This window comes from Homo sapiens, chromosome 5 (assembly GCF_000001405.40).
Source record: "Homo sapiens chromosome 5, GRCh38.p14 Primary Assembly".
NCBI classification, from domain to species: domain Eukaryota; kingdom Metazoa; phylum Chordata; class Mammalia; order Primates; family Hominidae; genus Homo; species Homo sapiens.
Window position 1 is genome coordinate 57690860 of NC_000005.10, and position 14233 is coordinate 57705092.

A 14233-nucleotide genomic window follows, 5' to 3' on the forward strand; every position below is an offset into this window, starting at 1 on the left:
TATAAAATGGTGCTTATGCTGTGTGCTGATGAGGGCTTTGTGCAGTACTGATAACGCCAAGGCTGCAGTGAGCAGACATACATATATATATTTTTTTATCAGCCTAAGGTATGGTGATAGCTGGGAGCAGGAAGACTGTGAGTTATTTGCATGGGAGGGCTATGTGTCCTGGACCATGGAGAAAGGCAGACTTGTAGCTTATCTGCTTTCTCTCTGCTTTTTCCTGCTCCCACCCACTTGATTCCTTTTTCCTAATTAGGACTCCACATTTCCTATGTGTCTTAAGTTAAAGAAAGCTGGGAAAGTAAAATTACTTTGCTCTTAAATGAATATAAATGTAATGGCCAACTTTTGACAACTGGATTTTCAGCTAAGAGTCTGAATGTGCTGAATATCTTAGCTTCTTCAGATCCACTCTCTTTTCTGTCCTGCTCTGTGTTCCAGGGGGCTGTAATCTAAAGGCTGGCCTCTTTGTCCCTGGCTTTCTTTTGTAATTGGCCAGTGGGGAACTCTGGCAGGGAACTGGAGGGTGAGAAGAGAGAGTTGTGGTATTTGTTGCCTCCATTTCCTCCCTGCCTGGGCACTGGCTGGTAGTGGCTGTGCTCCTCCACCAAATATCGGCTGCAGTAGAGTGGCCCTCTTCCACCAACCACAGACATCATCACATTTCAGCTCCACTCCTCACCTCTTCAGGCTTCAAGGTGGCCATGGATCATTGCTGCTGACTCTGAGAAGCTGCCCCATCTTGCCTGTGAGGATGGTGTGGTGTGTCAGAACCCACTCCAGCACGGAGGCTCTTATTCCTCCAGCTGTGAAGAAAGTTGCCCTCAGTGAAGAGCCACTTCGGCCCATGTTTCCAGGGTCAGCAAGCATCCAGTGACTGGCCTATCTGGGGATGAATACAAAGGCTTGGCCTTTTGTCTAAAAAGGAATAATTTTCAAGGGCCATGCCAGCTTCAGAGCTCCCTGTGGGATAGCCTCACATCTTTGTTGTGATTGCAACGAGGTTCAGCTTCTACTTCTGCTCAATTTTGTTTCCCCCACCTTCACAAGTGTTAATACCATGGGCACTCCCCAAGAGACTTTCTACAAGAAAATTTCATCTCAGACTCTCTTTCCCCCAAGACACTACCCACATCTTTAATACATCTTTTCACTAAAACCTCTTTAATCACCCTCTTTGAGTATGCTATTTGCTTCTTGATGAGACACTGACAGATATACTAATTGTTTTCAAATCAGGAACATCTTTGTTCCACGTAAACTTTCTTCCAGCAATTTTTTTGGAAGCAGTGGGAGAGAATTGTTACTCAGGGTTAATCTAGACCATCGAGGAAGAACTACCTAGTAAAGTAGAAGAGACAGAAACCTGAAGATAATGACCTGACCACCTTAAAATTTATACCATCATATATCATCATGATTCAACTATTTGGGCTACATAACAATAAATATAATTATAACAATAACAATAATAAATTCTACATGTTTACTTAAAAGTAAGCAAAATTTATGCTTTGTCTTAATGGTCTTGACCGAGTCAATGTTGAATACATTATAAGCACAGTCTCAAATAAGAAAACAAATCAGGAAAAAAATTATTAAATAATTGTGTGGGATTATTGGATTCACAAAATAATAAGTTGATTGATCTTGTTTACACTTGAATTGGTTATGATACCAATTCAGCAATTATTTTTGTCCTATATAATAGCCAGCTATGTTCCATTATCTCCTGGGAAAACAGAAGAATGAGATTCAACTGCACTAGCCAACTCTCCAGCCAATACAGGCAACGTTCTGTGATCTAGAAACATTGCTAAGAGTGTCCGCAAACTCTTTCCCTGGAAACCTCAGAAAACAGACAAATGTCTGTCTGTCTTGGATGGCATAATTGCAGTGCTGTGCTGCTTGCAATGGGTCTGCTCTCAGTGACCTCACAGTCCCCATAGCCAGGACATGGTAACTTCAGTATTTTGAAAGATTGAGAATCAGCATTCCTGTTTCTTAAGGGGGAAAAAAGGGGCCAATCAGAGACAAGGGTGGCTTGCTTAAACTGAGTCTAGTGTGGGAATGAGTTTCTGCCTTTCCCCAAATGGAATTGGTAGGATATTACGCTTCCTTTTTAGAAATCTAATAATCAGCATGTGAGCTTAGTGTCTTCACTCCTCATCTATGTCTGTTACCAGACAGTTCATCTTTTAAGGTAAATGAAGTTGTTTTTTTTTAATGAGGCATTAGAGTGACCTTAATCCTTCTAGACAGACATTCCCAGGATATTTTTAAGAGGTGGCCAGGGAAGGAGCGTGTGATTTTTGGCAGTCTGCTGACCTCAGCATGACCTGAATTAGAACGCCCCATGGAAATGCTGTGGCCTCCCTGGACCTGGAGTTCAGCTGATGACTCACCAGGGGCCAGGCAAGCATGAGTCATTCCACATTGCAAATGGCACTGAATGAATGCCAGTCTCTGTTTCCTCTCTAGCCTTGTTCTAGTCAGTCTACAGAAACAGAACAGCAACCATTTGCTGGTCCCACTTACGTCTCAAATGAATCCCAGCAAATGATGTGTCATTGAGGATAATACATGTTGCAGCTACATATATACCCTGAAAAATAACATTTAACTAAGCAAGAAGGAAAATATTTAGAATGGAATTCAAATATACTAATTTGATTCTCTGTGTCCCATTTCTGATTTGAACAGAGCCGCCGATTGTTACCTGGTATGCAATTTTAGATCCCTGCATTCCTGTTGTTCCTAACAACGGCTTGAAATTCCTTGCACCTTAAATGGTTTTCCTCCCTCCTTATCAGCAGTGAGAGTTGATAGTCTTCTACTCGTGTTCTGAAACCTTCTCTGCAAATTGATTAGAAATAAGACGTACCCAATTAACAAGATTATGTGCATTGAAAGAAAAGCTATCCTTTTGATGATTTATGGGAAATGAGTGTGTGTGTGTATGGGGAGTACAACGAAAACAAGAAGAAACTAATCTCCGCATGAGATTTTGGATGTGCAGAAATCCATGTTGGAACTTGCTTGAGCCAGCCAAGTAAGGAACAAAGAGAAAAATATCTTATTTAATAGCTATCTTCCTGGTTTTCTCCCTTGCTTTTAAAAAGGTATATTGTTATTTGAATTATAGGATAATACATGCTTATTGTAACAATTTCAGTCATGAGCAAGTAAAACTGGTCATTTCTTTTCCTCTGATGAATGTTCAGTTTGCTTTCGGTTTTCCCAATTACACACAGTGTTGCAATCAATATTCTTTCACATGTATCTCTGTGTATTGGTGCTTTTATTTCTCTTGGCTAGCATCAGAATTCAAAAGGTTGCATATTTCTGACAGACTAGGTTCTCAAAAGGTTGTGGAAATTTATAATCCCATCTACAGTATTTAAGAATCCCAAATTCCTAATCTCACCAACTTTGAAAGCTATTAACCTTTCAAAATTGTTGTCCATTTGAATGGAAAAATGCTATTTTGGGGGTATTTAATTTGCAACTTCATTTATACTTACCATATCTACTGCTTTTTTTTTTAATTTAAAAAAGGAATGTGAAACACTGAAACAAACTCAAATATTATGGATGTCACTTAAGAATAAAGGAATGGCTTTTTTCTATTCACAGATTAGATGTGCAGGAGAAAAACAGTAATATTAAACAAAGCAAAAGATAAGTAAAAACAGTATTTAGTTGGAGATAAATTAAGAAACTTCTTATTCATATCACAGTTGACATTGTTGTTAATTATTCTATGTGAATTGTGAACTTAATTTGGAAAATATGTACTGATATATTACATATTAAAAGCTTTGTTTTTGTTTTAAAATGTGCTGAATAAATTTTGTTAGTGAAATATATTAAGGTGAATACAGAAGAGCTTGTGCGTTCTTCCTTTTGTTTTAAAGTCATATTTCTTGGGTTCAGAGTGACACACAAAACAGAGGACTTCAGGTGCCTGAGGCAGTGGTTCTACATCTTGGCTACATGTTGGACTTGCCAGGAGTCACCTGGCAAGCTTTATTGGCTACTGATGCCTCCATCCCACACTCCAGAGCTTCGGATTTAATTAATCTGGGATGTAGCCTGATTAGGGGATTTTTAAAAGCTTCCAGGTGATTCTGATGTGCAGCCAAGGTTGAGATCCACTGATCTACAGGATATCTTTATTTCACCCTATTTCTTATCCTGCAAGAAATTAAGAAAATTGAACGAAGGAGATTTGCATTATTAATGAAGCATAATAAAATACAGCTTATGACAGAAAAAGCTACACAGCTTTTGCTACTTTCAGGGGACCAGTTTACCGATGCAAAAAACAAAAATCCTTCTCCCATAATGATGTCAACTCTCTTTCGCTCTCTCTTACACACACACAAACACTGTTTTCATTCTGATAGATCATAATGGCTTGTTTGTCTTGCCCTTGAGTTGCATAAGTTGATCTATGTACCCAGGGAAAAGGTACTGACTTTCTATCTAAAGAGATACTGGGAAAATGTCTCAGCTAAAGGAAAAAAAAAAAAAATAGCCACAGCAACACATCACTTTCTGCTATGGAACAATGTTACCCAGGCAGGCCAACCCTGATTTTCCTGCTTTCTGAAGTCCAGCCAACAGGGAAGTGCCCCACCTTCTTTTTGCCAGAAATCGTAGGGGCGATTTGATTCCAGTACGTGCTTTGAGCAGTGAAATGGGGTGCTGGTGTCCTCTAGAGCGGCAGCCTTCCAGTGTTTCATAAGCCATGAAAGTGCCTCCCCAAACTCAGAAACCTGTGTAGTTCCTGGGTCCTGGCCTATAGTTTTGTCTGTGTCCTCATTATCACAACACCAGCCCCTGTAAATCCCAGGGTGAGGAATGGGGCAAGAATAGGCGGTCGGCGACTGTGTGCCAATGGCAAGAAGTCAGAGGAAGGGAGGCTCCATCTACCTGTCAAGACCACTACCCCTGGGGCCTGTCACAGCTGACACCCATTCGTGTGTGTCTATTCAGTTAAAAGTAATAAATTTTATCTTGTTTAGGAGACAGGTGGTGGAGATTTTTACTTTTGTTTTTGGCAGTGAAGGCCTGTACTCTGGAGACTAGGGATTAGGTCATATACAAAATCTAGAACCAGATTGCTTTGTAGCCTTTCCCTTCTCTGTCCTTCTGAGGGCCATGCATCTGATAGGTAGGATCTTCTGGACTCCTAATCAGACAGCCTTCCCACCTCCTTGTCCCTGGTATCTCAGCCAAAGGCACACTTTAAAGATGGACCATTCCCTCTGGAGTCCTAAGGTGAAATAAATATAAACCAGGAACCTTACTCTGCAGACTGCCCTCTGTCTTTGCTAATTGGGATAATATTACTCACAGTCCCTTTGTCTTGCACTCTCTGGAGAGGTAGGAGGTGAAAGCACTGTTATGTCTATCACTACTGGGCAACAGAAAGTGAACCACTTTAGCTATTCCAGTGCCTCAAACTGTTGGGAGAAAGATGATATAACAAATTTATTTGGAAAAACATATTCTTCCTATAATTTAGAAAGTCAAGTAAATGCATTTTCTTCATCATTTTGTTACAGAAAGCTGTAGGATAGTTTTAAAGGATATCATTTTCTCGAGCTGTAGTTTCTGTCTGTTCTGTTGTGTTTTTGTGAATAATGAGGCACAGCTGAGGAGCAGGCCCCTTACACAGGCAAGTTAAGGTCAGCACCCCAGCCTTTTGTTCACTTTCCCAGTTGCTTTGTCCCTGGAGCTTCCCCTTCTGGGTTGAGATTGGCTATTTTTCTTGTTTGTGCTGTTTTTTTGTATTCTTTTTATCAAATTAAAATTGTTTTCTTTTTTACTTAAAAATTATTAATCAACTTGGCTTGCATCCAAGGAAGATAAGCAAGCCAGGATGAGTGTATATTCAAGTTTGGGGCCTGTAATTTTGTCTTCTATGCACACTGGGCTGAAATTTCACAGGAGGGATGAGTCTTCCATATGCATGATTGTATAAATAGCATGGCTTTGTAATATGGGAGTGTAGTGGCCTTAAAATAGCTAAACTGGAATATGTAATGATAGTGCTAGTTTTTTAGCTTTATACATCTGTGTAGAGTGAACAACATCTTATTATGTGTATGTAATGTGTTAACAAAATGCCTAGCAGACAACGGTTGGCTTTGCTTGGAGGAGAACGAGCCTATATGACAGAGACTTGGCACATTGGTATACAGAGGAGCAGAAATTAGATAAGAAGTCATAGTGCTGGGGAGGCAAGATAACATCCTTCAAACAGTTCAGCCCGAAGCTGGCTGGACACGCCATAGAAAAGGGAGAAAATGAATCTGAAAGGCTACATGCCAGATGGCTAAAGTCTAAATAACAGTTTTCTACTGTCCAGGGCTATTCATTTGTTAGCCCTAGAAATTTATCTCTTAAAAACTTTTTATCCAGTTAACTTTTACTTGAGTTTAGTTTTTTTTTTTTTCTTTTTTTCTTTGGAGAGGATGGAGTCAAGTGACTTGCCAGCCATGAGACAGAGTGAGTGTGTTTGGATTGAATACAGAAGCCAGAGTCAACTTTTTTTTCTGTCTTTTTTAAATAACAGGATGGAGTTCCACTACTGCTTGGAGTAGAAGGCCAGGCCAGGGATCTTTATGTTAACATGATTTCCTTAACCCTTTAAAGCTTTGAAGATAAAACTGAATCCATTGTTTGTGCACTATTTACTGATAGAATATCATGCTAAACTCTGTATAATGAGTAAGGTATCCATTTCTCACTGTACTATTTTAATAAGTAATTCATTCACTTTTATTGGTAAGAGAGAGTCTTACCAATATTAAGACTCATGCCGTATTATCATTTTGACTGAAAGAGCCAAACTTTGTATCTTCCTTCCATATATACCATTGGCCACATCCTTTCCAAGATTCAAGGGCAACATCTCTAATTAAGATTTTAACCTTTAACCTAATCTTAACACAGAAAGGAAGCAGAGTACCATAAGGCAGATGCCCCCTTAGTGTGGCAAATAGGACTTCATTCCCTACAGTCACAAGGTCAAGGGATAGTGATGTTGGTCCCTGATGACCCATGAAACCTCAAATTCTCCACTATGCCCTCGTTTTCTTGTACTGAGTCATGCCAATGGGAACAAGTGTGTAGACATTAGTAAAACTCATAGACCCCCTCATGGTCTAGAGGACTTCTTAATTCAATGAATGGAAAATTAAGTTTAGATGAATAAAACCTAAGACTCACTGAATCTTAGAGGTGTCATAAGAACAGGGGAAGAAGTAATTTCAGAGGGCCATGAATAATACTTGCATTTTAACAGGAAGTCCAATTGGATTCTGATATTTTCATGTGGAAATGTTTCTAAAGAACAGACTGTAAATAGAAAATACGTCAGCTTGTGAAAGAGAAACCCTGATTTTTGTTAAGAGAATGAACTAGGCCCTAGAAACTGCGACTTTAAGCTTTGGCAGGATAGAATGACCTATTTTTCATGGTTTTTATTAGGGAAAATTCCTCAGGAATTGTACAAGTATACTTTTGGGGAAAAATATTTTTGTGTTCTACTTATCAGCCTCAATCAGAGGCTCAATGCTAAGGCAGTCCTCATTTGTATACTAAATCAAGAAAAACATAAGCACTAAACCCAAATTATTGTATTAACTTTTGAAAGGGATATAAAATATCATAAAATTTGTCCCAGGTTCTAATTGTGTTCAAGCATTTCTAGTGTATTTTAAATTATACATATTAAGTTTAAAAAAAATTAAAACATTTAGCAAAAATGGCTATATTAACTTATTACAGGAGGAAATCGAGGTCTATTCCTCGTAACAGAGAAAAAAAGCTAAAATTATAATTTTGAAATTCATACTTCCTATAATTTCAAATTGCTATTTTTACTTTCTGTTTATATTGTAGTGCTTGAATATTCATACTTCATAGGTCCTTAGTGTATTTCTTTTTCAGCTTCCTAAGTAAAAGGCACTGAGTAAGCTAAGGGGAGATTTAAATCTAAGGGAATAAAAACAGGCCTGACCTTCCATGGATCTAAGGAAAATGGGTATACAAGGCACCAGCAGGGAAGGGTGAGTGATGCCCTTCACATTCCTGAGAATAATGACACATCTGAATGGAATGCAAATACTCCAGGTGAAGAGGCTGTTCAAGTAGTGACAGGATAATGCTCTCATCTGCACTTCCCATTTACCCTCATGATTACAATAACCCAATGGCAAAAGCCAGCTGGCTCATGTATCAGCCTAGATTTATTCTTGACTCCTTTTTTTCCTTACTGTAATATATGAAAAATGGTATAAAAATAGAGAACAGAGACCACAGTGACATCCCACACAGAAGCTAATTTGTAAATTATCATATAGTTATTATATAAATTGAAAGTGGCCAGTTCTACAAACAGATGCAATTAAAAGGTGCCTATATGATTTAAGACAACAAAGGCTTCCCCCTCTTTCAACAACACTGTACTCTAAATATCTATTGTGTGGGCACATGATCCAGCTAGACAATTACGGAGCTCCTGCACATTTCCATGGTGGTGGGTCTAGGAGTTGGTTTGTGACCAAGCATAGACAATAAAGTCTTCTTGATGTGTGGGCACTAGATGAGATCTTACTTCCGTTTGAATCGTGAGTCCGATGACAGATTTGTGCTGCGAGTAATTATCTTTCCTGCTATATAGGGAAAGGCTATATGAAAATGAAGCCAAGACATGGGGATAAGCATGAAATTGAGAGAAAGAAAGTCTTGAGGGCAGAGCTCCTACATCTACATGCACCTTTGGATTCCCCAGTGACAGAAATGTTTTACCATTTTTTCCAAAAGCCAGTTTGAGTTAGATTTATTTTGCTTGCGATTGAAAGGGTATTAAAAACTTTAAAAGAATTCAGTCAGTCGCTGATGCTCGGTAACTTCCCTTGACAAAGCTTTTCTTTACGTCTCTCGTATGCTTCCCAACCTGGGTACTCATGTAATATTGCAGATTTGGGATTGACAATAAAAAAAGATAAGATTAAAGATTTATATAAGTTATAGTTTTATTTATAATTCAGCCTGAAATTGGTTGCACAAAGAGTAAATGCTTTAGGATTTTAGAGAGGGGTAGATAACTGGGAGCAAATGTAATTCAAAGAAGGCTTCATGCAGGAAGGAAACATGGACCTGTAATGAAGGGGAGGGGTTGAAGAATAGATGGTGAGGAAAGAGAAGAATATTGCAGGTGAGGAGAATAAGAGAAACAAAGGCACAGAGATGGGAGTGAGTCCAATGGAAAATGCCCTGGATAGAAGGATGAGGTTGTAATTGGGCTGGTAGGGAGGCGTCATTATATGACAAACAGATTTGGAAACCAGGCAAAAGACTTGTGATGTGGTGTGGTAGGAAATAGCAGCCCTTGAAAGTTGTGACCTGATAAAAGGGGTGTTTCGCAAATATTAGTGCTGCTGTGATATGAGAGAATGGCATAAGAAAGTCTTGTTAGGAGGCAATTTTCAGCGGTGCTATTTGAGGGAACAATATGAAAACTTGGATTTAAATTGAGGCAGTGAGAATGAAGACAGAGGTGAGAGGGTATAAAGACATTTAAAATGAAAAATAAAAATCCATAGGATATGATTGGGAGGATGAAGTGTGCTTGGAGATGGTTGACTCAGAGTTTTACATTCTTGGCGTCAGGATATATTCCTACTAAGTTGTAGGTAAAAGATTGGAATTGGATTCTAGGATGTAGTGAAAATGGGACTGGGCTTATCAATTGGGAGGAACTCCAAAGAGAAAATAGCAACCAGAGAAAGGATGATGAGAAGCAGAGAGGCCGAGAGAGGGAGAGAGACCCACATTCAAGCAACATAGAAGGGGGCAGAGAGAGAGGCACAGGGCAAGGCAATGGCCAGAATTATGGGGCAGAAGAAGCAAGAAAAGTCAGAAAAGCAATAAAGAAGGAATGTTTAAAGAAATAGGATAGAGATCTACATACAATACTGTCATCTTTAAAGAAGTGGTCCCCAAACTTTCATCATTAGTATTTCCTATAGTAGTAAAAATGTTTTGAGCCTGCACCAAAGGTATTTATTTATTTTAAATCACTTACATTTGTATTCTACTTATTCCTGATTAAATAACATACAAAAATTTGAGTTAAGGAAGAAATTAAAACATTAAATAATACTTTTACAATTCTAAAGCAAACATTTCCCTCCCACTAAAATAATAATAGTAAGAATAATATTAATATTTTTAGTAAAAGCATTGCAGTTTAAATTTTTATAATAGAATTTTCAAAGATAAAAATAAATAGAGGTAATACTATAATTACCCTCCATGGAATCATCATCCAACTTTAAAAATCTATAACATTTTGTCAATCTTGTTCATTTACCCATCCTTACTACTTGATATTTTGTAGGGGGTCTAGAGTATTATAGAGCAAACTCTAGACATCATTTTACCTATAAATATTTCAAGATGTATCTTTAATTTGTAATAAATTTTAAAAATAAACACAATGTTATATCACACCTAAAATTAGCAATAATTTCTTAATATCGAATACCAGTCCATATTCAAATTTCCCTAATTGTCTCAAAACATTTTTTAGAGTTGGTATATGTCCAAACCAAGATCCAAGCAAGATCCACTTAGTGTTTAGTTGTTGTGTCCTGTCTCTTTTAATTTACAAAAGCTTTATCTTAAATATATATATATTTCATTTGTTGTAGAAACCAGGTCATATTTTCTATAGAATATCTCATGTTTGGATATGAATTATTGCTTCTTTATGTTTTGCTTAATTTGTTTCTCTAGCTCCTTATTTGCTATAAACCAATAGTTAGATCTAGAAGTTGTGTCTTTTACTATTGGAATATACCAGAAGATACATATCTATTGACCCACTTTTAATGGTCATTTTAGATTTTAAGATTTATCAGTAGGCTTATGTATTTGAAACCTTATTCTATTCATCTGTTATAAAGAACTATTTTACCTAATGATTTTAGTATCCATTGATGTCCATTGCTTAGATACATTATTTTGGGGGTGGGGGGATTGTAAATTGTAACTTAAAAAAATTCTATTCCTCCTTCTGAATTTACAAACTAGAAATCTTCTATAAAAAGAATCATTTGTCAACTACTGGTCATCCCAAAATATGGTTCATATAAGAAAGATAGAACATTGTTTGATAATTTCCCTTTGTCATTTTTTCAGAAAATTGAGGTTTTTAAAAAAATTATTTAATATCATGATGAAGTATAAATTCATGGATTTTTATATATTTTATGTTTTAATAAACTTTAGTTGTTATTATATTTGGTGCTCAAAATTATCACATTGCTGGTGAAGCAGCCTCTCCAATTTGGCTACTAAGTCTTTTTATTAAAACTCATTAGTCTTTACTACCTTTTTTACTGTTGTCTCCAAACATAGCACCCAACATCAACAAGGTGGCCAAGTTCATCTTGTATATATTCTGCTCCAGACCTTCAAGCAGCATTTTTCCAAGGATCATTGATCCTTTTTAGTGGGCAACTGTATTTAGAAATCACAAGCTGTGCAGTAAGGGTGTTTACTGCTACTGGATTATTAATTCTTCTGGGATTTTTTTACTGGGAGAAGCTATAAGTGTGTGAGTGTATGTGTGTGTATGAAAGAAAAAAGTAACTTGTAAATACATGTTATTTCTAATTCTAATGTAAAAGTAGAGGGTTTTTATTTACATCTTTGGTTATATAATTTCTCCTGCTGAAAATCTTGATTATGAATGGAATTAACCTAATTAAAAGCTTTTAAATTTTGGTTTACATTTATGAATCACATAGTAGTATCATAATTCCAAGGTCTGGCCATGGGTTCCTTTAATTTAATACTTGGTTCTAGTGGTGTTCACATGAAAAATATATGAAGAACTAAGCAAAATCTTTAATGATACACTTAATAATCTATTGTTCAAATTTTTCAATCCTATCCACCAATTACAAAGTTATTTGTTAAAGTTCAGTTTGTAAGTTTACTTTGTCCCCAATGTTAACAAAATTGTCAACAAATTGTGCGCTCTATGTCATATTCCATATGTATACATATATTCTATATATATGTATTCACATAAAACATACGAACACATTTATTTCGAAGACTTTAAACACATTAAAATTATATTTTCAATTATTTTTAGAGTGCAGATGTAAAAGTGTGTGTAAGTGATATACTTACAATATTTTGGGCACCAAAATCATATAGTGATTTCACACATAATTATATAATAATTTCTAAATTTCAGTTTCAATATGCTTTCACCATAGCATATATTTCCTTTGAAAACAGCTGATTCATTTTTCTTTTTCTTTTTCTTTCAACTTCTATTTTAGATTTGGGGGTACATGTGCAGGTTTGCTACCTGAGTATATTGTGTGATGCTGAGGTTTGAGGCACAAATGATCCTGTCAGCCAGGTACTGAGCATAGCACCAAACAGTTAGTTTTTCAGTGCTTGTCCCCCTTCCACCCTCCCTCTCTCCTCTAGTAGTTCCCAGTGTCTATTGTTCCCATGTTTATATCCATGAATACCTGATGTTTAGCTCCCACTTTGTAAGTGAGAACATGTGGTATTTGGTTTTCTGTTCCTGTGTTATTCTGTTCCTGTGTTAATTTGCTTAGGATAACAGCCTCTGGTTGCATCCACGTTGCTGCAAAGGACATGATTTCATTCTTTTTTATGGCTGCATAGTATTCTATGTGGTATATTACCACATTTTCTTTATCCAATCCACTGTTGACGGGCACCTAGGGTGATTCCATGACTTTGCCATTGTGAATAGTATTGTGGTGAACATAAGAGTGCATGTGTCTTTTAGGTAGCACTATTTGCTTTCTTTTGGATATATACCCAGGAATGGGATTGATGGGTTGAATGGTAGTTCTGCTTTAAGTTATTTGAGAAATCTCCAAAGGGCTTTTCACAGCGGCAGAACTGATTTACATTCCTACCAATAACATGTAAGTATTCCCTTTTCTCCACAGCCTACCCAACATCTGTTGTTTTTTTGACTTTTTAATAGTAGTCATTCTGACTGGTGTGAGATAGTATCTCACTGTGGTTTTGATTTGCATTTCTCTGATGATTTACTGATGATTAGCATTTTTTCATGTTTGTTGGCTGAGAAAGCAGCTAATTTCTTACTCATTATTTAGAAGCCACTTTTAACCACTGAAGTTTTTATTTCTTATCTCTGTAGTTATATTATCATCAGCAAATTGTCATTACAAAAAAGATCAACTAATATGAAACACTTGCCTCTTTGTAAAATAAAATCTCATTAACAATAATGGAAATAAGTCCATATTTCAAGTAGTCCTCTTCATGATATTTTAATCGCTCTCTTTGTTGGATCTTATTAGGTTTATATATTAATTTTGTTATGTGGTACAAAAAATAGTTGAAACTAAAAGTAGAAATGTCTTCTTTGCCATTTCCTTATTTCCTGTTTTATAAACATTGCTTCTTTTTCAACCTGTGGTTTCTTATAAGAAATGTTTTTAAGGTACTTATATTTTTTGTGAGGTTTAGTTTATGTTAAAAACATGATACCATCTATAAATCTACCTTGATAGGCACACAAATTATAGTTTTTGTAATATGGTGGAAAAGAGTAATTGCATGTGAGTAGCATGATAGCTTCATACTTGCTGTGTGTATAGACTTACACACATATGATATTTTTATATTAAATATCGATGCCTACTTCCTTTAATGTTATTATAGAATACAATATATTAATAGAAATTCTAATATTTTTCCCATGCTGCAACTGACTATTTCTTACTTCTTGGGTGCGTATACCCTGCTCTGGAGATTCCTCCTTGAAGGATGAGACACCTTCAAAAAGAAGAGAAGTTTTAGTAGCTGGTTGATGATGAAAGTCAGAGTCCAGTGAGTTAACGAGAGAATCAGAAATGGGGCAGAAGATTTTAGATGACTTGTGGCAATGAAGGAGGAAGAGGAAAAATAAAACTGTACGGTACTTGGAGAAAATAAAATGTAGAAAATTCCTCCCATGACAAGCTTAGGGAGATTTCTGCATTTGGAGATTGAAGGTAAAGAGAACATGTAGACTGTGGATTATCAAATAAAAGGTTAGCAGAGGAAAGAAGAGGGAGAAGAGGATTGTGTTAAGATCTGTGGAGAAAAGAGTTTACCTTTCATGACTCAGAGAGGCATG

General features: G+C 36.6%; 3 annotated features.

The window, feature by feature from the left end:
- Window positions 1764-2963: an enhancer, noted in NCBI's record as "BRD4-independent group 4 enhancer chr5:56988450-56989649 (GRCh37/hg19 assembly coordinates)". NCBI's record gives its function as "activates an origin of replication core promoter dependent on BRD2, P300/CBP, MED14 and CDK7 cofactors, and independent of BRD4, by STARR-seq in HCT116 cells {active_cell/tissue: HCT116}" and the evidence as "EXISTENCE:reporter gene assay evidence [ECO:0000049][PMID:35650434]".
- Window positions 2283-2577: an enhancer, noted in NCBI's record as "tiled region #2408; HepG2 Activating DNase matched - State 5:Enh, and K562 Activating DNase unmatched - State 5:Enh". NCBI's record gives its function as "activates a minimal TATA promoter and a strong SV40 promoter by Sharpr-MPRA in HepG2 and K562 cells {active_cell/tissue: HepG2 | K562}" and the evidence as "EXISTENCE:reporter gene assay evidence [ECO:0000049][PMID:27701403]".
- Window positions 7911-8415: an enhancer, noted in NCBI's record as "OCT4-NANOG hESC enhancer chr5:56994597-56995101 (GRCh37/hg19 assembly coordinates)". NCBI's record gives its function as "activates a minimal SCP1, AML or CMV promoter by ChIP-STARR-seq in naive and primed H9 embryonic stem cells {active_cell/tissue: H9 hESC(naive and primed)}" and the evidence as "EXISTENCE:reporter gene assay evidence [ECO:0000049][PMID:30033119]".